Here is a 21532-nt window from a genome sequence, read left to right as displayed (position 1 = left end):
TTCTAATTTAGGTACCTACCTAGCCCTATAGACATTTGGGTTTTAACCTGCAGACCTAGGTATATCTCCCATATATTCTGGGCCACTCCGATTTACAAATATTATTCTACCTCCTTGTCCCTCTAAATGTCCCAGAAATTCCAATATTTTGGCGAACAGTAATGCATGAATAGAATCAGATCAATAAAAATATACATAAGTCACAAAATTTCTTTGCTACCTCATGTGGTCCAATTTTCAGTTTGGAAAGCCCAGTTGCTGACCTCACCATCCTCCAACTCTCATTCCCATTGTTTTATGTGGGTAAGACCCTCCCACTAGGGTAGAACAAGGAAGATGCATCAGGACCCAGGACCAGGAAATGCCAGGTTTCCCAGAAGAAGGGGTCAAGGCATAGTCGTCTGTTGGAAAACGGTTGCTTAAGTTATGATTACATAGCAGGCTATACAGGTTGAAAAATATTCACTTTTCAAATCAAAGAATGAAGTGGGCTGCTGGAAATGAGGATCCACTGAACAAGGCTATACAGTTAATGTGTCTGCAGTTGGATAGAATTGAGAGCATGATGTCAGTGGGAATATGCAGAAGGTGCAGATGGTCCCTTGATGAGATGTATATTGGGGGAGGCAAGGTAGAGGGGTAGGGAGTTTACTGTCTGCTTGCAGCCGGGCAAGTGAATACCCAGCTCTGTTCTGAGCCTGGAAAGACCCAAGCTAATGCTGGAGTCCTGCTCAGTCAATTACTTATAAATCAACACGCTGCTCATCAGAAGACTGTATCCAAAAGGGAGCCTCAGAATCTCCAAAGCAAGGAAGGATTCTCCTAAGGTCTCTAGATGTGGGGTGGTTCAGGGCCTGGCTCATGTAGCCCATGGAACAGTCCACCATGTTTCACACGAAGGATGTGGGTAGGGGTGGTCTAGACACTAGACACCCAGTGTTGCCAAGGATGTCTCAAACCCAGAAAACAGTGCTTACCCATCGACTCACTGAGCCCTGGACCCTACTTTGTCCCTCATCTCTGTGTCCATTTTTTTTAAGTCTATCAGACATCTATCAGACATGAGGAGGACATGAAGGTCTAAAGCAGTGGTTCTCAAACATAAGCACACATCACAATTATGGGGAGGAGATGTTAAAACACAGATTGCTGAGGCCCACACCCAGGATGTCTGATGCTTTTCTAACAATTTCCCAAGAGATGCTGATGCTGTTAAAGCCTGGTCCACATTTTGAGAGCCACTGATGCAATGAAATGTTCACTATTGTTCATTCCTAGCGGCCTCCAGACCCCACAGCTTACTTAAGGAAAGCATGTGCAGTTTTCCCTAGAGAGTATTCCCAGGCAGCTGGACATGGTGGCTTACACCTGTAATCCCAGCACTTTGGGAGGCCAAGACGGGAGGATCACTTGAGGCCAGGAATTCAAGACAATACTGGGCAACATGGCAAAACCCTGTCTCTACAAAAAAATACAAAAATTAGCCAAGCATGGTGGCACATGCCCATAGTCCCAGCTACTCAGGAGGCTGAGGTGGGAGGATCACCTGAACCCCGGAGGTCGAGGCTGCAGTGAGCCATGATTGCATCACTGCACTCCAGCCTGGGCAACAGGGCGAGACTTTGTCTCAAAAAAAAAAAAGAGAGAGTATTTCTAGGTGATGTTCTGTGCTCCTCCTACTCTTACCATCCAAGCTCCTTAGGGATCTTTATCTGAACTTCACTGAACAGAGAAAGCACTGGCCGACCATGATTTACATGAACTGACTCTTGGTAAAGAAAGTGGTAAAGTGAATCTTTTGATGCCTCTCCCAAGGCAGCCCAAATCCCAAACTACAGCTCTCCTGGGAAAATAGGCAGGGATGACTTCTTGCTAATTAGTGTTACTCAGATTCAATTCTCCTTTCCAAGGACTTACCCTTTCATTCAATTCAACACAATCCAATCCAATCCATGTAGCAATTCAGTTCCCTGGCAAGGAGACCCACACAAGCTTTGGGGCAGTAAAGCTCAACCTTGAGTGTGAAGATTCCTCTGACTCAGTCCTCTCAGTCCTGATGCAGTGGATGGGGAAAAGAGAGAGAAGTCCAGAGAAACTGCACTTTAACCAATCCCTGATGCTTCTGAAGCAAATGAGCCTGCCCATATCTTGAGAAATACTCCAGTAGAATTCTAAGGACTCAACAATTTCAGGTGTTTTCATTCTTCAAGAGGAGCCTGTCAAAACCAACCTTTATTTTTAGGCTGGAGTGCAGTGGTGCAATCTTAGTTCACTGCAACTTCTGCCTCCTGGGTTCAAGAGATTCTCATGCCTCAGCCTCCCGAGTAGCTGGGATTACAGGCACATGCCACCATGCCTGGCTAATTTTTGTATTTTTGGTAGAGACAGGATTTGCCATGTTGGCGAGGCTGGTCTCGAACTCCTGACCTCTAGTGATCCACTTGCCTCAGCCTCACAAAGGGCTGGGATTACCAGCATGAGCCACCGTGCCTGGCCAAAACCAGCCTTTCTATCCAGAGTCCAGAAAACCCAGGGAACCTTAATCAACACAGCCTCATTTCCCATCTCCAGAACTGAAGCTGGGGCTTTACAGAGTGTCCCTACGAGTAAATTATTCTAATTAAATTCAATATAATCAAACTTAATTAGTGACCTATGTATTGGTTAGAAATGCACTCTGCTATAAGTAACAAAATCTCAACAGCACTGACTAAAACACATTTTTTAAAAATTTTGTAAGTTGATATATAATAGTTGTACATATTCAGGGCATACATGTGATACATGTGCTATTTCATACATGTACACAACGTGTAATGATCAAATCAGGGTAATTTAGATATTCATCCCCTCAAACATCTGTCTTTTCTTTGTGTTGGGAACATTACAATTCTCTTCCAGCTATTTTGAAAAATACAATTAATTATTGTTAACTATAATTTCCCTACTGGCTTAAACTATTTTGTTTATTATGTGTAAAGGTTTGGAAGTAGTTGATCAAGGCTGGTCTTGGGACACCATAAATTAATCAGAGATCAAGACTCCTTCCTTATTTTGGCGCCAGGTAATAAGATGGGTGCCAGGATTCAGCCATCCGGTCTGTATTCCAGGCAGGAAAAGGGGGAGCACAAAACAGGGGAGCCCTGCTCCCAGCTGAGTCATCCTCCCATTAAAAGTTTTCCTGGAAGCCTTAACCCATAATTTCCCCTTACATATCCCTGGCCACCCCTAGATGCAAGGAAAGCTGCGTAAGTAGCCTGTTAGCCCAGTACTTTGCTGGCTCAAAGAATGATCAGGATTCTGTAATTACGGAAGAGAGAAGAATGGAAGTTGAGTAAGGTGACTGGCAATCTCTCAGTGGGATGGGATGGGGTGAGGAGGGAGGAGACAGAGCTGTATAATCCTTCATCCATTAGGGAGGACACCCAGAGCACACCAACAAGTGAAGCTCAGAGGAAAACTGCCACGTGTGCTCAGAGAGCCAGAGAACAAGTGCTGCCAGGCTCTTGGAAGGAGAGGCATTGGAGCTGCTCCTCGATGTATGGATAGAATTATAACCCACAGAGGTGGATTGTGAAGAAAGTCACTCTGGGCAGAGGACATGTGCTTGGGGAATATTTGGGCCCAATCAGAAGAACCTATAGAGAAAAAGCTTTAGGGCTAGAAAGACCTTTAATAGTTGTACATATTTGGGGCATACGTGTGATATTTCATGCATGTACACAATGGGTAATGATCAAATCAGGGTAATTGGGACCACTGAGCTGAGAGGTTCTTCACCTGGGATCCACGCATAGCCCCACTGCATGGGCTGTGTGGGGTCCCTGAATTGCCTGAAATTCTAGGCAAAACTTTTTACATATGGGTATATTAAATTTTTGTCATGAAAGATGCTCAGAATAAGCTGGGCGTGGTGGCTCACACCTGTAATCCCAGCACTCTGGGAGGCTGAAGCAGGAGAATCACCTGAGGTTGGGAGTTCGAGACCAGCCTGACCAACATGGAGAAACCCTGTCTCTACTAAAAATACAAAAAATTAGCCGGGCGTGGTGGCACATGCCTGTAATCCCAGCTACTTGGGAGGCTGAGGCAGGAGAATCACTAGAACCCAGGAGGCGGAGGTTACGGTGAGCCGGGATTGCACCATTGCACTCCAGCCTGGGCAACAAGAGCAAAACTCCGTCTCAAAAAGAAAGAAAGAAAGATGCTCAGAATAATCCTCGTATTGTTGTTTCCAATATTTCCCCCAAAGAGCCCACAACATCAACTTTTGTTCTTTTACACACAACCTAGCTACCAACATGAATCCCTCATTGCCTAACTTGCCAGCCTCCATGCTCTAACCTGACTTGACTCATGCTGTTCTTCCCTCTTATAATCATTCCTCCTTGCTTCTCCCCTCCGGCAAGATATGAAAAGATGGGTAGTGATTTCCCCATCACTGAAAGTATTAAACACAGGCTGCATAAGCACCTAGAAAGGACATGATAACAAAGATTTATATTAGTCAGTGTTCTTCATTGCAAGCAGTGCAATGCATCAAATTCCAACCCAACCTGACGTTCTAGAATTCCTTTTGGTATGAATATCCTTTGGCTGTAGTATTCCCCCATGAAGTCCTCCTTGACTATCCCCACCCACCTTGGTATCTTATTTCTCTTTAATGCTAATACCTCCTGCATGAAGCACATGACTTGGCATTAGCTTTATAAAACCTATTTTGTATTGTTTCCCATTTTTTCTTACATATAGATCAAATGTCAAACAAAAGCACTCCAGATTATAACTAATTCAAGAACAAGAACTGAGTCTTCTCTTGCACCTTGACTATGCCTTGGCCATAGGGTGACCAACCATCCCAACATGACTGGGACTGAAGAGTCTCTGGAGATATGGGACTTCCAGGGCTAAGAGTGGGAAAATCCTAGGCAAGTCAGGATAAGTCACCCTACTTGCCGAAGAAGTAGTAGCTACTTATTGATTGCTAACTATGGTAGACATTATGCTATTTGCCAATATTTCTGATTCTCCTCTCCTTCTGCACACACATTGCACTTTCCCATCCTCTTAAAGTTGGGCATGATTGTTTGACTTGCTTTGGCCAATGAAATGTGAGTGGACCTAATGTGCGTCTCCTCCAAGTGGAAGCAGTTAAGGCCCTATGCACTATTCTCGGTACACTCCCTTCTCTTTGTGCAGCAAATCCTAAAGCCGTCATGTTGAGAAGGCTGTGTTATATGACGATGTGGAACGTCTCTGTGAAGCAGAGCCCACTGCCTGCCCGTTCTGGACACGTAGTGTGAGCAAAAACTTAGCTTCTCTTGTGTTAAGTCACAAAGTCTTGTGTTATGCTTTTTATTGTCTCAGCAAAACCTAACCTAACCTGACTGGTACACCAACCATCAAAAATCTCATTGGCAACTTTATCAAACTCATGCTGCTCAAGTTTCTCAGGCATGAACTTCAAAACACATGACCAAAAATCCAGCAGTGGGAAATTGTGAAATCTGAACCTGCTCTCCCAGGAGGCTCAAAGAGGCTGGAGGCAAGACGTCTTGAGAGCTGGGGCTCCAGGGAAAGAACTTGCCTCCTAGTTCCTACCCACCACTCCAAGCTATTCATTTTATTTTCTTCTGCTTTATTTATTTTTAGAGACAGTGTCTTCCTCTGTTACTCAGGCTGGGGTGTAGTGGCATGATAGTAGCTCACTGTAATGACAAACTCCTGGGCTCAAACAATTCTTCGGCCTCTGCCTCCTGAGTAGCTGGGACAACAGGCTCACGCTACTATGCCCAGCTAATTAAAAAAAATTTTTCTTTTTTACAAGGTCTCATTATGTTGTCCAGGCTGGTCTCAAACTCCTTGCCTCAAGTGCTCCCCCTGTCTAGGCCTCTCAAAATGTTGGGATTACAAGTGTGAGCCACCATGCCTGGCCCCAAGTTATTAATTTCAATTGTTGACATTAAAATTTGGGGTCAATTTTGGAGAGTTCAACTCTTCAACATATAGATGAGAAACTCTCAGAAAGGAGAAATTACTGGTTCAGGATCACTTTACGGGTTTGGATCTCATGCTCACAGTTTAGCCATCTTTGCCCTTTATGTTGCTTTTCTACCTAATTAATCACAGTCATTGTCCATTTCTTTAGGATTTCACAGAACTGCCCATGTCTTGATGATGAAAAACTAATGATAGTTTCATGTATGGGTTTAAAAACATATTAAAAGAAAACTTTTTCATATTAAAATAATATTGTTTATTACAATAGTAATAAGTGCATGCTCATTTTTTTTTTTTTTTTTTTTTTTTTTTTTTGAGACGCTCTGTCACCCAGGCTGGAGTGCGGTGGCGCAATCTTGGCTCACTGCAAGCTCTGCCTCCCAGGTTCACGCCATTTTCCTGCCTCAGCCTCCCAAGTAGCTGGGACTACAGGCACCCAACACCACGCCCAGGCAAATTTTCTGTATTTTTAGTAGAGAAGGGTTTCACCATGTTAGCCAGGCTGGTCTCGAACTGCTAGCCTCAAGCAATTCTCCCACCTCAGCCTCCCAAAGTGCTGGGATTACAGGCGTAAGCCAGTGTGCCCGCCCTCATTATTTAATATAAGAAAATGAAGCCAGGCTCAATGGCTCATGCCTGTAATCCCAGCATTTTGGGAGGCTGAGGTCGGAGAATTGCTTGAGGCTAGGAGTTCGAGACCAGCCTTGGCAATATAGTGAGACTCTCTATAAATTTTGTTTGTTTGTTTTTTTGAGATGGAATCTCACTCTGTTGCCCAGGCTGGAGTGCAGTGGCACGATCTCTGCTTACTGCAACCTCTGCCTCCCGAGTTCAAGTGATTCTCCTGCCTCAGCCTCCCTAGTAGCTGGAATCACAGGCATGCACCACCATGCTCGGCTAATTTTTAGTAGAGACGGCATTTCACCAAGTTGGCCAGCCTGGTCTTGAACTCCTGACCTCAGGTGATCCACCCGCCTCAGCCTCCCAAGGTGCTGGGATTACAGGCATAAGCCACTGTGTCTGGCCTACAAAAAAAAATTTTTTTTTTCTTTGAGAGGGAGTCTCGCTCTGTTGCCCAGGCTGGAGTTCAATGGCACAATCTAGGCTCATTGCAACCTCTGCCTCCCGGATTCAAGCAATTCTCCTGTCTCAGCCTCCTGAGTAGCTGAAACTACAGGCACACATCACCACATCCGGCTAATTTTTGTATTTTTAGTAAAGACAGGGTTTCACCATATTGGTCAGGCTGGTCTCGAACTCCTGACCTCAGGTGATCCATCCACCTCAGCCTCCCAAGGTGCTGGGATTACAGGCATGAGCCACTGTGCCTGGCCTACAAAATTTTTTTTTTTTAAATTAGCTAGGCTTGGTGGCAGGCACTTGTGGTCTCAGCTACTCGGGAGGCTCAGGTGGGAGGATCACTTAAGCCTGGAAGACTGAGGCTGCAGTGAGCCATGATCACTCCACCGCCCTCCAGCCTGGGTGATATTGCAAGATCCTGTCTCAAAAAAAAAAAAACTGTTTTAAAATTTCAAAATCTCACCAATACAGTGGTAGTCACTCAATTTTTTTTTTTAATGAAAATGAGTTTGTTATGTTTTGTAACACAAAAAATTCATCTTCATCAGTATTTTTGCTGGTTATGTGGCATTCTATTTTTATGGATATAGCATAATGTATTTAACCAACCTTCTTTTCTTGGCTGTTTAGGTTGTTTTGGGTTCTTTGTTTTTAATCATGAGCACTGTTCCAATAAACATTGTTAATTTTAGTATAATTTAAGTATATCCTGTTTCTTCAGTACCTGTGGAGCACGTCCTATGGCAGGGGTTCTCAAACTTTAGCCCAGGCCAGACATGAGTGGAGTGCTTATGAAGCCATAGATTCCTAAGCCCCATCCCCAGAGTTTAGGCCAGGGGTGGGGCCCGAGAATTTGCATTTCCAACAAAGGCGGCTGGTAGTGCTGACACTGCTGATTTGGGAATCACACTTTGTGAGCCACCATTCTCTATTATACTTGCTTTTGAGAACCTAATAACACGTTTCCTTAGTTTCCTTTCTTACACACTTTTGCAATTGGTTTTGTACCCTATGGAGGGAGCAATTTTTTTGAGGTCTCATATTCTTTCCCCATTCATGACTCTAAGCCGTTTTCACAGCACACCTTTCCAAGAGTTTTGGGCCTGACTTTAATATTCCAATATACACGCAAATAGGCATACACACTGATTTTCAAAATTGGTTATCTTTTTCCTGCATTGCCATTTCAGAAACCTCAGCTAATAACAAAGAGAAGATAAACAAAAGCTCCTTTTCCTAGACACTGACATTTTATGTCCCATAGTCACCATACCTGGCCTGCCTCAAGAGGTTGTTGTGATGAATAACATCTATCCAAGATGGATAGAGTCAAATATTACAGATGCTTGTGAGGTGGAAAAAACTATCAGCCCAGAAGTGAGGAGGCATTAAAATTAAACTTAGTATTATTGGCCAGGTGTGGGATCCCAGGACTTTGGGAGGCCGAAGCGGGCGGATTACCTGAGGTTGGGAGTTTGAGATCAGCCTGGTCAAAATGGTGAAACTCTGTCTCTACTAAAAATACAAAAATTAGTTGGGTGTCGTGGTGCATGCCTGTAATCCCAGCTACTGGGGAGGCTGAGGCAGGAGAATCACTTGAACCTGGGAGGCAGAGGTTGCAGTGAGCCAAGATCGTGCCACTGCACTCTAGCCTGGGCAATAGAGCGAGACTCTGTCTCAAAAATAAATAAATACAATAAACTTAGTATTATGATTTATTTGTAGGCCATTGAGTCAAAGTTTAGGTTCTGGAGTTAGAACTGTATTCTGTGCAGTGGCTCATGCCTGTAATCCCAACGCTTTGGGAGGCCAGGGTGGGAGGATCGCTTGAGGGCGGTCGTTCAAAATCAGACTGGAAAAAAGAAAAGAATTTGGTTGGGTATGGTGGTGAGCCTCTGTAGTCCCAGCTACTCAGGAGGCTGAGCTGGGAGGCTCGCTTGAGCCCAGGAGTTTGAGGCTGCAGTGAACTATGATAGCGGCAAAAAAAAAAAAAAAAAAGGAACTGGATTCTATCTGGGCTGTGGTAACTTACTAGCCATGTGACCTTAGGCAAATCATGTTGCATCTCTGAACACCATTTTCCTCACCTGTAAAATGGAGGAAGTAATACCTTTGTTGCACTGATATGGCAAGAAATAGAAATAAAATGTATAAAACAACTGGGACAAAAACAGCCCTCAATGAATGATAGTTGTTAGTTTATCAAATAATTGCTTTAATTATTTTTTCCCCCGGCCCTTTCTTAGCTGAGGGTTCGGAAAAGCATCTGTTGCTCCTTGAGGTTTTCTTTTCTTCTGCCCTGACCAGAGCTTCCTATTATTTAGAAGGATTCTGGTCACCTGCCTCTGGTGGCGGCGCCGCTGGCCCTGCGGGCTACACTGAGGCCCCGCTCTTCGGGTATTTACGGCGGGCGGCCGCCCCAGCTCAGGCTCAAGACAGCGCTTCCAGGTTCAGTTTCAGGGTCTCGCCGGCAGCCCCAGCCGGCGGGCGCGGAGCGGGCAGCGGGGCCCGGATCGCAGGCTCCTCTGGGGGCCCCGGAGTTGGGAAGCGGCGTCCGGGAGCCCCCGGAGGAGGATGGGCTGCAGACACAGCAGGCTGAGCAGCTGCAAACCCCCGAAAAAGGTAAAGGGCGCCGGCGGAGAAGTTTGCTTTCAGAGGAGAGGGGAGTGCGGAATCGCTCCGCCGCAGAGGACTCGGCGCCCCGGGCTCTCTCTGGTCGGCCCGGGATACCGGACGGAGAACCTGGAGAGGCCAGCTCAGAGACGAGGGAGGCTCTGCTGGGAGGCGCCCTTTACCCCGGCCCGAGCCGCACCAAGCAGCCGAGTTTACAAACACGGCACCCGGGCCAGGGAAAGGCAGCTGATTCCCGCTGCCTCGGGTGGGGAGATGTCGTGTGTCTGTGGCAGGTGCCCTCTGCTTTCGGTCTGGGGCTGTTCGCTGTGTGGCCATGGACAAGTGACTTGACCTCTCTGGGCCTTCGGCTTCCTCCCCCCGGGGGTTAAAGGCTGATAATCTCAGGGCTGCTCGAAGAGTGTTCCACAGACTCGCAGTATCAGCATCCCTGGGGACCTGTCAGAAATGCAGAATCTCAGGCTCAGGCCCAGTCTTGCCAAGACAGAAGCTGCCTTTTAACAATATGCCCAGGTGATGACGCTTTAAAGTTTGAGGCGCTGGTCTTAGGGCTCTTGCAGGCCCCAGAGCTGGTGAGTGTGGGCTGCCCTTGGGGTAGCTGGGAGGGGCCAAAGAGGGAGGAGATCTACTGCGTTCTGTGGCCCTCTCCTCCCTTCCTGTCCTTCCCCCAAGGGGCCTTGGAGCTGGGTCAGGGCCCAGGGGACAATTCTCAGGTTTCTTGCAGTGAGACCAGCTGCCCCTTGGGGTCTGACGAGCCCAGAAGGTCAGAGCCTGGAGCTAGAAAGATAGCCTCCTCAGGGGACACTGTGAGGCAGAGGGGAAGAAGGACCCTCAAATTCTGGCCCCTTTTCTTACCACTACCTGCCCCCTAGCCAGGTGGGACTAGGTGATCCCTTAAACTTTATCATCATTCCCCCTTGAGACCTTGAGAGGCCCCAAACTGTGACAGTGTTTAATAGTTTTGCAATGAACTTTAGTCCTCCCTCTGCTCCTGCTTTGCTTGTGCCCTGAGTACAGGTTTTTCTGCCTAACAGTAGTCCTAGCCTGGAGGATTCTACTCCCTTCTCTGACACCTCCTGGCTTTCCTTGCTCTCCCTTTATTACCAGATTGAAATTCTCACCAACTCCTGACCTAGAAACCCTCATGTCTTTACTCACTCCAACAGGGAAACTGAGGCTTGGCTCTATCAGTAGAAGGAAGGGGCTGGCTGACAGGGATGACAAGGCGGAGAGACCTGAGCCTTGGCTGAGACTTGTAACTGAGCAAGTGGTAGGCAGACATTAGCCCTGGGTGTAAGTCCTGGTGGTGCCATAAACATACTGGGTGACCCCAAGCAAGCCCTTGTGTCTCCCTGGGTCTCAGTTTCTCCCTGTATGGGGAGTGATGAGCAGGATGATCCCTAAGCATCTGAGAGTCTGTGTTCTCTGCACCTGTGTCAACCTTGTAGCTTGCAAAGTGGACCAAGGGTGAATTCCATCTACCTAGAGGTGGAGGAAACGGGGAAGAGCCTGACCCTTCCACAAGCTGGAAGAGGAGGTCACAGTAAGCACAGGTTCTTTGGCTCCTGCTCCTTCTGAGAGACTTACCAGCTGTTCCTGCCTGTCCCTGGCACAGCCAAAGCTCTGAAGGGCAAGTAAAGCTGGCACAGCCTGTCTGAGTTGGAAAGGGCCTTTGGGTACTACCTGGGCTGACGCACCCACTATACAGATAGGAGGTTAAGGCCTAGAAAAGGGAAGGAGCATGACTGAGGTCACAGAGCAACACAGAGCAGAACCCAGGTATCTAGTCCCCTAGCTCCGTGTTCTTTGTCTCCACCTCCTCCCGCTGTGCTTCCAGTGGCTTCTTGATGACTTTAGCGTAAAATCTTTTACTCCTGTTGCCTCAGAGAACAGCCTGGCATGCCTTCTTGGCCCCAGCCATGCCAGGCCCCTGCCCCTATATGGCAAGATTTATGGGCTGTTTTTGTTTAAAGTTCTCATCCCTGTAGGCTGTGCTCCTGCCCAATTTCTCACCCAGGTGCCAACCCCTTGGAAGGCATGAGCTCCCAAGTTCATCCCCAACAGGCTACCAGCCCCCTGGGAGAGAGGGGGACTCCAGGGATGGGATGGACAAAAATGAGCTCAGGCTACAGAGGGGTTAGGTTCTGATAACCATGACTCACCCTGAGTGTTTACAGCATGCTTTCACATCCCGCCCAGTCTCACAGAAGCCCTGGAAGTTAGGCTGAGCTGCAGAATCTTTCCCACTTTACCGGGGAAACTGAGGCTCAGTGAGGAACGATGGGTCCAAAGTCACACAGCCAGTTGGTGGCAAAGCTGTGCAGTTGAGCCTGGCTTTCTGCACTCCCCATCTGGTGCTCATTGCCTTATACAGATCATGGAGCAGGTGCTTAAGTAGATATTTGAGTGAATGAGGGACAAATAAGAGCCATGCTAGGGGTTGGCCCAGGGAGCAGTAGGAGCATCACATCTAGCCTTGAGAGATGCAGGAAGGGTTTTTGAGGAAGGGTGGTTTGGAAGGTATGGCAGGAGTTACCCACTCATGGCCAAGGCCTAAGCAAAGGCTGAGCCACTGAAAGCACAGCGTGAGGGGGTTCTTTGTGGAGAATGGAGGTGGCAGGCAGCAAGGAATGAGGCAGGCACTTTTAGAAAGGATTATCCTGGCTAGGGACAGGAGCTTGACCATGAGGCCTTCTCATGTCCCTCCAGGTTCAAGGATCTGGGGGTCTGCTGAGTTCTGTGGTCTATGGTGCCTGTTGGGCTTGGCCGACTAGATGTTCTAGACCACCCTGAGAGGCCTGGCCTGGGACTAGGTCACTGCCTTATTGGGACAAGTTGAAATGCTGGGAATAAATGAATAGGGTTCCTGGCAGGCTGGGGGTGGGTGCTGAGGAACCATCTGGATCGTGTGGTCCTGCCTAAACCCTTCTTCTTGGCAAAGACCATGGCTAATGTGGTCACATCCCCCAGGAGGACTCAGGAGAAGGCCAGGCAGAGTGGGTAGGGGTCAAGGAAACAAGCCTTCTGGGGAGTTGCCAGCCACAGTGGTAAGGAGGGGCCTTCCTATCCCCAACAGGTTACCAGCCTCCCTTGGGCAATAGGGTAGGAAGCGGAGGGGGGGTGGGGACTGGTGCAGGAGGCATCTCGTGGCCAACCCCCTTTGTGTGACACTGCAGAGTACCAGGAATGATGTCTGAACTCTCCATTCCCGAAGGCTGTGGCTATAGCTCCATAGTTCCAAGCAGGACCTCTGAGAAGGGGCTCAGCACAGCTGCCAAAGCTGGGCCTCAGGTGACAGGTACTTGGTGGGTCAGTCATTCAGCAGCCCTTCATGAGCACATCCATGTAGCAAGCCAGGTGACAGAAGTGAATGATAAGGAAGAGGCTGGTGCAGGCTTGGGTAATTCTGAAATCAACCAGTAGACAACAAGGGCATGGCTAACTTGGCAAACATTTGTGGGTCGACCACACCGGGCTCTGGGTTGGATGCTGGTTCAGTCCTGACTACATGGAAGATCCATTAAGTGACCTTAAGAGTGGCTTGGCTTCTCCATGCCTCAGTTTCCTCATCTGTAAGATAGGCTTGGTATTAGCTCCTGTGCCATAGGGTTGTTCTAAAGATTAGATGAAAGACTGTATGTGACAGAGTCTCTGATACCCTGACTAGCAAGAAGGATGCCTTTGAAGGAGATAAGGAGGCACAGACTTAATGTTATGCTTTAAGGACATCACTGCCTAGATTGTACCCAAGGAAAGTACCCCGGGACGTGGGAGCTAAAGGACATTAGTGTTCTTGGAAGGTTGACGCGGGCAGGGTGGGAGGATGCAGGCTAGTGTCTGGCCTCTTCCTTCAAATCTCTGAAGTCTTGTCAAGGGGCATGGAAAGCAGTTTTTTTCTCTGTTGTTCCAGAAGGCAGCACAGTGGCCAGTAGGGGAGGCTAAATCGAGCAGATTTCTACTCATGAGGAATAAGTGGCCAAAAAAAGGCCTCAAAGGGTAGTGAGTTCCTATCACTGGAGGGTTCAAGCAGGGGTCAGGTGGCATTTTGGCAAGAATATTAGAGGGGATGCAAACCTACGACTAGCAAATATTTACGATTCCATTAAAAAATGGAATTGTTCTGATTATTATTTTGAGTCAAAATTTCAAAATGTGGGAAAGTATAAGAAATTAAAAAATCTTTTAATCTCACAATTAAGAGATAGCCACTGTGTACATTTCAGTGTCATTCTTTGTACCATTTTTTCCTATGTATATTATAGATGTGAGTATGACTATCTGTATAAAGCTAAGAGTATGTTTTATATGGTTATATTCCAGTTACTTAATATTCTTCCGGGGGCATTTTCCCATGTTAAGTAGTCCATGGAAACACGGACTTTTTAATGGCTACCTAATGTCCTGTGGCTGTTCCGTGGCTTATTTAACCGGTTTGGACGCGTGGTTCTTTGCAGTCTGCACTCCTACCCTGGTAATTGATGAACATCCCTTGTGTTTTCCTCCTACCTGGGGCCAGTGTGGCTTTGGACTCGGGGGGGTCAAGGAAGGCCCCTTAGAGAGACAGCATCTTGGCTGGGTTTAGAAGGGGGGCGGGGGTTAGGCACTTATGGGGCAGGCGAGTTACTCAGGAGGGCATGCTAGGCAGAAGGAATATGGGAGCAGCCCTTGACACCTGGTCAGGAGGAGTGGGCAAATCTGATCTTCTAGCTCGGTTGGTAAGGGCAGGACAGTTGAGGAGCGTGAAGGAAAGCTGCCTCTGCAGCACTCAGCCCCCTGCCCCAACCATCATGGAGATGTTGGCATGTACATGGCCTCCGAGCTGATGATTTTGCCCAACCTAGAAACTAATGCCCACCAATCTTCCTAGCTAAAGCCAGTACAGGCTTCCATGCACAAGGCACTCTGGAAGACCTGTGAGATTAAATACCAGATTTTTGCGTTTGGCAACCTAAAACACACTAGAATAATTCCCAATACTCTCTGCCTTTGAGATACAACCTTTGGTGATATATTTTCTGCACATGTACATGTTTTTAATTCTTTTCCTCTATTGAATTCATGGGTGGCTGATGTAGGTCCCCTGAGAGCCTGACGAGTTCCCAGATACCTAAGGGCTCCCATTTTTGCTTCAGTTGGCTGTTAGGCTTGGGACCTGTGCTTCATGTCAGCACTGTGTTTCTTTTTTGTCATAAAAAGGGAAGAAAAGATGAAATTTTAAATTAATTGCACAGAAACAGGCTGCTATATAAATCAAGACAGTGAAACTCTGGTTAGGAGGGGCTGCCCCCTGACATCTCAGGGTGCATAGATCAGCCAGTGAACAGAAGTCTGAGACCTGCCTGGAAAAGGAGCTCTAAGGGGTCTCAGTATGAAATTCATGAATGTTCATATTCAAAAAATAAACTCGAAGAGTGTAAGTACCCTCCCAACGAAAGGAAGAGCCTCTCAGATGACCCTAGTTCTGGCTCTGACACCTCAGGGTGTACTTGGGCTTCCGTCCACACGGCTGGCACTCGGTCCTCTGCATCATCCTCCCTCAGCACTGTGAGCCGTCCCCAGTGACCAGGGGAGAGGGCCAGACTGGGAGCCCCCACTGCAGCAGGACTGGCAGTGGGGAGGGAGCTCCTGCTGTCCCACCTTGGCAGAGAAAAGGAGCAAGAGAAGATCCATCCATCTTTAGCAGATCTAAACCCATCCATTACCTGAAGACAAGCCATCCTATTTGTCTTGCAAGGTGAATCTTAATCCCTAAAAATAGTTTATCTTGTGTCACCTTATTTTCAAATCTGAACCTTCCAGAACATCTAGGCCAAACACTGTACTATACCTAAAACAGCCATCCACATCCATGCATCCCCCCAAGACAAGTGATATGCAGTCTGACCTACTTCCAGATTTCCTCCTCTCTGCAATGGAGTTTTTTTTCACTGAGTGTACAATGACCTTTGTGGCTTTCCTCGCCATTTTCTACTGCCCCATGTGACCCTGCCCCTGTGCCTTCCTTAAGGAAATGGCCTGGACATCAGAAAAGCTGTTACCTTTACTGGATTCAGTAATGTCCCCTCCTACATTTACATTCACCCAGAACCTGTAAATGCGACATTATTTGAAATAGGGTCTTTGCAGGGGCCATTGAGTTAAAATGAGGTCACATTGGATGGGCCCTAATCCAGTGACTGGTGTCCCAACAAGAAGAGGGAAATTTGGACACAGACACACAGGGAGAAGAGCAGGGAATGAAGTGACACATCTCCCAAGCCAGAGAACGAAGGATTGCCAGCACCCACCAGGATCTGGGAGAGAGGGAGGTAACAGATCCTCCCTCAGAGCCTCCAGAAGAGCCAGCTCGGCTGATACCTTGAATTTACACTTCTAACTTCCAGAACTGTGAGAGAATACATTTCTGTTGTTTTCAGCCACCAAGTGCGTGGTAATTTGTTACAGCAGCTTTAGGAAACTTTCATATCGCAAGGTTAATTGCTCCTTACCCACCCTCTCACCCCCAGCCCCAAGTTGCCAGCAATCAAAAATGACAGCAAGAACCCAGTGCCTCCCTTTGGAACCCATCTTGGCAGCAGAAGAGGCAGCACTGTAAACAAGGAGGTGCCTGGACAGGGCCCATTGCTTTTGGACACCAGCAGCTGCATCTGTAGAGGAAAGAGCACTGGACTGGGAGTCAAGAATGGGGCCTACTTCTTTATATTTTTTATTGATATATAATATTTTACATACTTCTCAGGTACATATGATATTTTGTTAGGTGCATAGACTGTGTAATGATCAAGTCAGGGTATTTGGAGTTTCATCACCTCGAGTATTTATCATTTCTATGTGTTGGGAACGTTTCAAGTCCTCTCTTCTAGCTATTTTAAAGTATACAGTTCATGGTTGCTATGGAACATTAGAATGTAGTCCTTCCATCTGGCTGTATGTTTGTATCGTTTGACCAGCCTTTCTTCATTCCCCGCACCCCACACACACGTCCTTCCCAACCTCTGGTATTCATCATTCTAACAATGGGTCCACTTCTGCCTCTTTTGCTAACTATTCTCTTCCCCAGCCTTGATTTCTCTGTCTGTACCTTGACTCTGGGGGAGGCTTTCAGGTTCCAAGAGAGGTACCTTTTTCTTGTTGTTGTTAATTTCTTTGTATATAAGTAATTCTTGAATGCGTTGTTGCTTTAAAAATCCTAAGAATTGGCCAGGCGTGGTGGCTCACGCCTGTAATCCCTGCACTTTGGGAGACTGAGGCGGGCGGATCACCTGAGGTCAGGAGTTTGAGACCAGCCTGACCAACATGGTGAAACCCCGTCTCTACTAAAAATACAAAAATTAGCCGGGCGTGTGGCACGTGCCTGTAATCTCAGCTACCCAGGAGGCTGAGGCAGGAGAATCGCTGGAACCTGGGAGGCAGAGGCTGCAGCGAGCCGAGATCGCACCACTGCACACCACTCGCTCTAGGTGACAGAGCAAGACTCAGTCTCAAAAAAAAAAAAAAAAAAAAAAAATCCTAATAATTTAGGTAAAATGTAAAATGGAAGCTACCCTTCCTTGACCACAGTAATTTTAGTCCATTCTCTGGAGATGACAACTGTTATCAGTTTGTGCTTTTCTAGGTACTTTTTCCTATGCATTTTTTTATCATTAGTAATAGTTGGCCGGGCATGGTGGCTCACGCCTGTAATCCCAGCACTTTGGGAGGCTAAGGCGGGCAGATCACCTGAGGTCAGGAGTTCAAGATCAGCTTGGTCAACATGGTAAAACCCTGTCTCTACTAAAAATACAAAAATTAGCTGGGCATGGTGGCACATGCCTGTAGTCCCAGTTACTGGGGAGGCTGAGGCAGGAGAATTGCTTGAACCTGGGAGGTGGACGTTGCAGTGAGCCAAGAATACACCACTGCACTCCAGCCTGGGTGACAGAAAAGAAATAGTTTAGTTTGGATATTGGTATTTTACCAAATGCCTTTCCATCTTTGTACATAAAGGTCTACTTCACTCTCTTAAACATATGAATGAAATGACATAGTATTATGTCCCTGAGTATATCCAGCCAGTCCTCAGTTTACAGCATTTCCCTACTGCAAATGGTCCTGCCCTGAGCATCCTGTGCATCCTCCTTGTCCTCACTAATGGGTACTTATTTCTGTTCACAGTGCTACTGTAGAATTAGGAGCATGCTGCGTGCAACTTGGGAGATGGCTGAGCTCTGTCATTCTCTGCTTTCAGGCAATCCCGCCCTCTCTTTTACAACCACCCTTACACTGTCTGCTGAAGAACAGGGGATGGTGTGGAGGGCTCCAGGTTCTCACCCAGGCCTCCTGAGCAAGGGACCCTCCTTTCCTGCTCTCCAGAGAAGCCCCCTCCATGACCAGAGCTAACAGCTGAGTGTGTCAAACTGCCTCTGCCCTGCCCAGAGCAAACAAGCCGGACAGGATCGACAGAAGATGAGATAGCAAGATGACCTCACTCTGCCCCTTCTTCCCCATCCACAGCATGTCAAAACCAGAAGGGCTCTTACGTATCCCATTGCACAATTCCATGCCATGCAGAGGAGGGTACAGAAGCACAGAAAAGGAAGAGTGTCCACTCAAGGTCACACAGCAAGCAGATGGCAAGCTAGGACCTTGGCTCTGGACTCTCAATTTGCCATTGGACTGTGAGACAGGTATCCAGGCGCTCAGCCTCAGATGGCAAGCTAGGACCTTGGCTCTGGCCTTCCAGTTTGCCATTGGACTGGGAGACAGGTATCTGGGCCCTCAGCCTGTCTCTTTCCCCACCCCCATCCAGCTACTGACACCATTTTCTGTCCAGCTCCTTCAGGGTCCTGCCTGCCAGGCTGACCCAAATGCTAGAAATAATGTCTAGTGCTTTTGCCAGCTCCAGGCCCTCTGAGGCAACCAGAACTAGCAGACACCCTGGGAAGCTGATATGGGACAAGAAAACGGGAGCCCTAGGGAGGAAGAAAATAAATAAGGTGTATTAGAAAGGCTTTCTCTAGGCCTCAGTGTCATCGTCTGTGAAGTGAGGCCTTGCACTCAAGGCCCTTCTGATGCTTGTCTGCTGTGGTCTGGCTCACCAGGTGCAGGGGTATTTAAGAAGGAAGTGGTCCTTTGCTCCCCTGAGACACCTCATCAGTTGGTCAGATAGGAGCAGTGGAGACCACATCCGCCCCTGACTTGTGTGCTCTGGGGGTCCTGCAGGTGTTCAGAGCATAGGCCGTGTCCCCGGTGCAGCGGAGTGGTGCAGCCTGGCACTTCTAACTTTAAGTTGGTTGTACAATCACATTGGACTGTCCTCCAGCCAGTGAGGAAATGTTGACCACACACTATATGATATGAAGGGGATGAATTAAATCTTTAATGTCCCTGGCAGTGTTTGAGTTTCAATGACATCAAATTCAGGCATTACTTTGGCAGAATATCTCTGCCCATCTTAGAGATGGGGAGGCTAAGGCCTGTATTTATGGTGTTCTGTCTGAGCTTCTGTAATTCGGGTGTGAACACTAACATTTCTCAACAGCCCTGATCATTTAGGCCCCGCCCTTCCTCCCCGAAGGCCCTGGAGTGGGGCCCCTTGGGCCACACTCCCCGCCTCCTTCCTGCCTCTACCCTCGGCCAATAGGCTCTGACTGTGGTTACTTAGATCCCAGCACTAGTGGTGCTGGGCCAGACACCGGAAAGGCAGCTCTGATATTGAGGAGGGTGTGACCTGAGCCCCTTGAGACTTAGAATCACCTCTCCCCTACAGGCTCAGCTACTCAGATAAAGCTGACCCTGGCATCAGGGGGACGGAAAGGACTCTAGCCTCAGCTGTGAGTCTGGATTCTCCCCAGGGCTCTGCTTCCCTGCTTTGCAGCTTCTGACAAGTTATCTGCCCACCCACCTCTGGGCCTCAGCTTTTCTATCTGGAAAAAGGAGGTGGGGATTGGAGTCAGCTGCCTCCTGGGGCCCTTCCAACCCTGCTCTGGGTTCCCGTAAGCCTTCCTCAGCCAGGATAGGTGTGATAGAACTACATGCTCAGAGGAAGCCAGGCCTGTGATGTATGGGACACGGAGGAGCTGGGTGAACTCTTAAGGAGTCTTCTTTAATTACTAAATTCTCTAAGTTAAGCAGGAACAATGAGGACACAAAGCACTTAATCAGAAATACACAAGCCTTGAAGGCTGACAAACAGAATGGAGTGATGGCTCCCAAAGAGGGCTAGCTCAAGTCTCTGCAGGACAGGCTGAACCTCCCTCAGGGCTACTCTTACCTTCCATCCTACTAGGATTCCCAAGGTAGGGAATAGCTGGGCGGCTTCTATCCAAGTTGCTTCTGCCTAATTCACTCTTGCCTGGTGAGGCTCAGAATTTGAGGGTAGTTGGCCGGGCATGGTGGCTCACGCCTATAATCCCAGCACTTTGGGAGGCCGAGGCGGGTGGATCACTAGGTCAGGAGATTGAGACCATCCTGGCTAACATGGTGAAACCCCATCTTCACAAAAAATACAAAAAAAAAAAAATAGCCGGACATGGTGGTGGGCACCTGTAGTCCCAGCTACTCAGGAGGCTGAGACAGGAGAATGGCGTGAACCCAGGAGGCAGAGCTTGCAGTGAGCCGAGATCACGCCACTGCACTCTAGCCTGGGCAACTGAGCAAGACTCCGTCTCAAAAAATAAAAAATAAAAAATAATTTGAGGGAAGTTTAGGGGTCTATCCCAAAGGCTTGAGTATGTGACTACAGCCATTCACCCCAAAATGCTGCTCCCTGAATAGCATTCAACAGAGCTCCCTGAGGTTCCATTAATGCTGGTGGTCTTTACATGCCATGTAGTAGATAATTTCTTTATGCTTACCAGAGGCTTTCACTTGCCGAACATCAGTGATGCTTTTTAGAATTATAGACTGTTAGAGTTCAGGGTTCTAAAAGATCACCAGTCCAATCTACAGCATGAAGTTTGACTCTCCAACCTCTTCTTGCATGCTACTAATGATGGAGCGCTCACTTCCACCACGATTCCCCACCCTCCAATGAGGCAGCCTACCAGTTTGTGATGGTTCTGAAATTTTTCTTCATACTGAACTGAAACTTCTGGAACCTCCTCATGCTTGGCCACAATCCTGTCCTCCAAGGCTGTAGATGACACGCCAGCAGCTTCTACCCATGACATTCCTGCTGAGATTTGAAGACAATATCAGGTCTTCCTGCCTGTTCTCAAGGCTGACCAACTCTTGTTCTGTTAACAGCCCCTCCTATAATTTGGTTTTGAGCCACCTCCTACATCCTGTCGGTTTCTTTGGGACGTCTTCCAGTGTGTCAGTTTACCCTCTAAAATGAGAGTATACTCTAGAGCATCTCACCAGCCCCAATCTGAGCTCATGTGGCTCTCCATGGCTCTGGACACTGTCTTCTCATTCTACCCTGACTCTGTCTGCTTTTGACAGCTGTGTCCTACTATCTCAGGTTTGCTTCAGGTTGAACCTACTGCAGGGCTCTGGTCTGCTTGACAGCAAGGATCTAGGCCCCAAAGCTGTGAGTGTCACCTGGGTATAGGGGCTCTATTTCCAGCCTTCTTAGGAGAAGGGCTGCCCTGGAGCTCAGGAGGACTGAAGAGAGCATCTGTTCCAGCCCTGACCCTTCACAGATGGGGAAACTGAGAAGGAACATGACTTACCTAAAGGCACACAGTAAAGCTGGAATTGAGTCTCCTGGCCTCAACCCCAGGCCTGGGTTCTCCCTGCATCCTGTACTGCCGGCAGCCTCCTCTGCAGCTTTCTTGCTACCAAGTTTCCGTTGACTCAGGAAGCTGTCATCCCTCTTCCAGAGTGTAGTCCGGATACC

At 47.8% G+C, this 21532-nt stretch overlaps 1 protein-coding gene and 1 long non-coding RNA gene across 2 annotated transcripts in view, besides 10 other annotated features; one reads left to right on the top strand and one right to left on the bottom strand.

Moving 5' to 3' along the window:
• Nucleotides 7803–8097: a silencer, noted in NCBI's record as "tiled region #974; K562 Repressive non-DNase unmatched - State 23:Low". NCBI's record gives its function as "represses a minimal TATA promoter and a strong SV40 promoter by Sharpr-MPRA in K562 cells {active_cell/tissue: K562}" and the evidence as "EXISTENCE:reporter gene assay evidence [ECO:0000049][PMID:27701403]".
• Nucleotides 9275–21491, bottom strand: LOC105378230 (uncharacterized). Its single transcript, NR_160730.1, has 4 exons — nt 21366–21491; nt 20736–20866; nt 12893–13281; nt 9275–10149 (listed from the first exon to the last, which is right to left on the bottom strand). It is a non-coding gene; the product is annotated as an uncharacterized LOC105378230 (long non-coding RNA).
• CCDC69 (coiled-coil domain containing 69) overlaps nt 9533–21532 on the top strand; it is a 43041-nt gene continuing 31041 nt past the window's right edge. The window contains exon 1 of the mRNA NM_015621.3: nt 9533–9702. Coding sequence (NP_056436.2) covers nt 9655–9702 — 48 coding nt within the window. The 5' untranslated portion in view covers nt 9533–9654. The remainder of the gene's footprint in view (nt 9703–21532) is intronic.
• Nucleotides 9581–9660: a silencer, noted in NCBI's record as "silent region_16521". NCBI's record gives its function as "represses an Ori minimal core promoter by ATAC-STARR-seq in GM12878 lymphoblastoid cells {active_cell/tissue: GM12878}" and the evidence as "EXISTENCE:reporter gene assay evidence [ECO:0000049][PMID:35858748]".
• Nucleotides 9781–9980: an enhancer, noted in NCBI's record as "active region_23454". NCBI's record gives its function as "activates an Ori minimal core promoter by ATAC-STARR-seq in GM12878 lymphoblastoid cells {active_cell/tissue: GM12878}" and the evidence as "EXISTENCE:reporter gene assay evidence [ECO:0000049][PMID:35858748]".
• Nucleotides 10001–10110: an enhancer, noted in NCBI's record as "active region_23453". NCBI's record gives its function as "activates an Ori minimal core promoter by ATAC-STARR-seq in GM12878 lymphoblastoid cells {active_cell/tissue: GM12878}" and the evidence as "EXISTENCE:reporter gene assay evidence [ECO:0000049][PMID:35858748]".
• Nucleotides 11531–11750: an enhancer, noted in NCBI's record as "active region_23452". NCBI's record gives its function as "activates an Ori minimal core promoter by ATAC-STARR-seq in GM12878 lymphoblastoid cells {active_cell/tissue: GM12878}" and the evidence as "EXISTENCE:reporter gene assay evidence [ECO:0000049][PMID:35858748]".
• Nucleotides 18678–18737: an enhancer, noted in NCBI's record as "active region_23451". NCBI's record gives its function as "activates an Ori minimal core promoter by ATAC-STARR-seq in GM12878 lymphoblastoid cells {active_cell/tissue: GM12878}" and the evidence as "EXISTENCE:reporter gene assay evidence [ECO:0000049][PMID:35858748]".
• Nucleotides 19088–19137: an enhancer, noted in NCBI's record as "active region_23450". NCBI's record gives its function as "activates an Ori minimal core promoter by ATAC-STARR-seq in GM12878 lymphoblastoid cells {active_cell/tissue: GM12878}" and the evidence as "EXISTENCE:reporter gene assay evidence [ECO:0000049][PMID:35858748]".
• Nucleotides 19918–19997: an enhancer, noted in NCBI's record as "active region_23449". NCBI's record gives its function as "activates an Ori minimal core promoter by ATAC-STARR-seq in GM12878 lymphoblastoid cells {active_cell/tissue: GM12878}" and the evidence as "EXISTENCE:reporter gene assay evidence [ECO:0000049][PMID:35858748]".
• Nucleotides 20008–20057: an enhancer, noted in NCBI's record as "active region_23448". NCBI's record gives its function as "activates an Ori minimal core promoter by ATAC-STARR-seq in GM12878 lymphoblastoid cells {active_cell/tissue: GM12878}" and the evidence as "EXISTENCE:reporter gene assay evidence [ECO:0000049][PMID:35858748]".
• Nucleotides 20768–20957: an enhancer, noted in NCBI's record as "active region_23447". NCBI's record gives its function as "activates an Ori minimal core promoter by ATAC-STARR-seq in GM12878 lymphoblastoid cells {active_cell/tissue: GM12878}" and the evidence as "EXISTENCE:reporter gene assay evidence [ECO:0000049][PMID:35858748]".

Source organism: Homo sapiens, chromosome 5, assembly GCF_000001405.40.
Source record: "Homo sapiens chromosome 5, GRCh38.p14 Primary Assembly".
Classification (NCBI taxonomy): Eukaryota; Metazoa; Chordata; class Mammalia; order Primates; family Hominidae; genus Homo; species Homo sapiens.
Note: the sequence above shows the minus strand (reverse complement) of the source record. Positions and strands in the feature narration are given on the sequence as shown.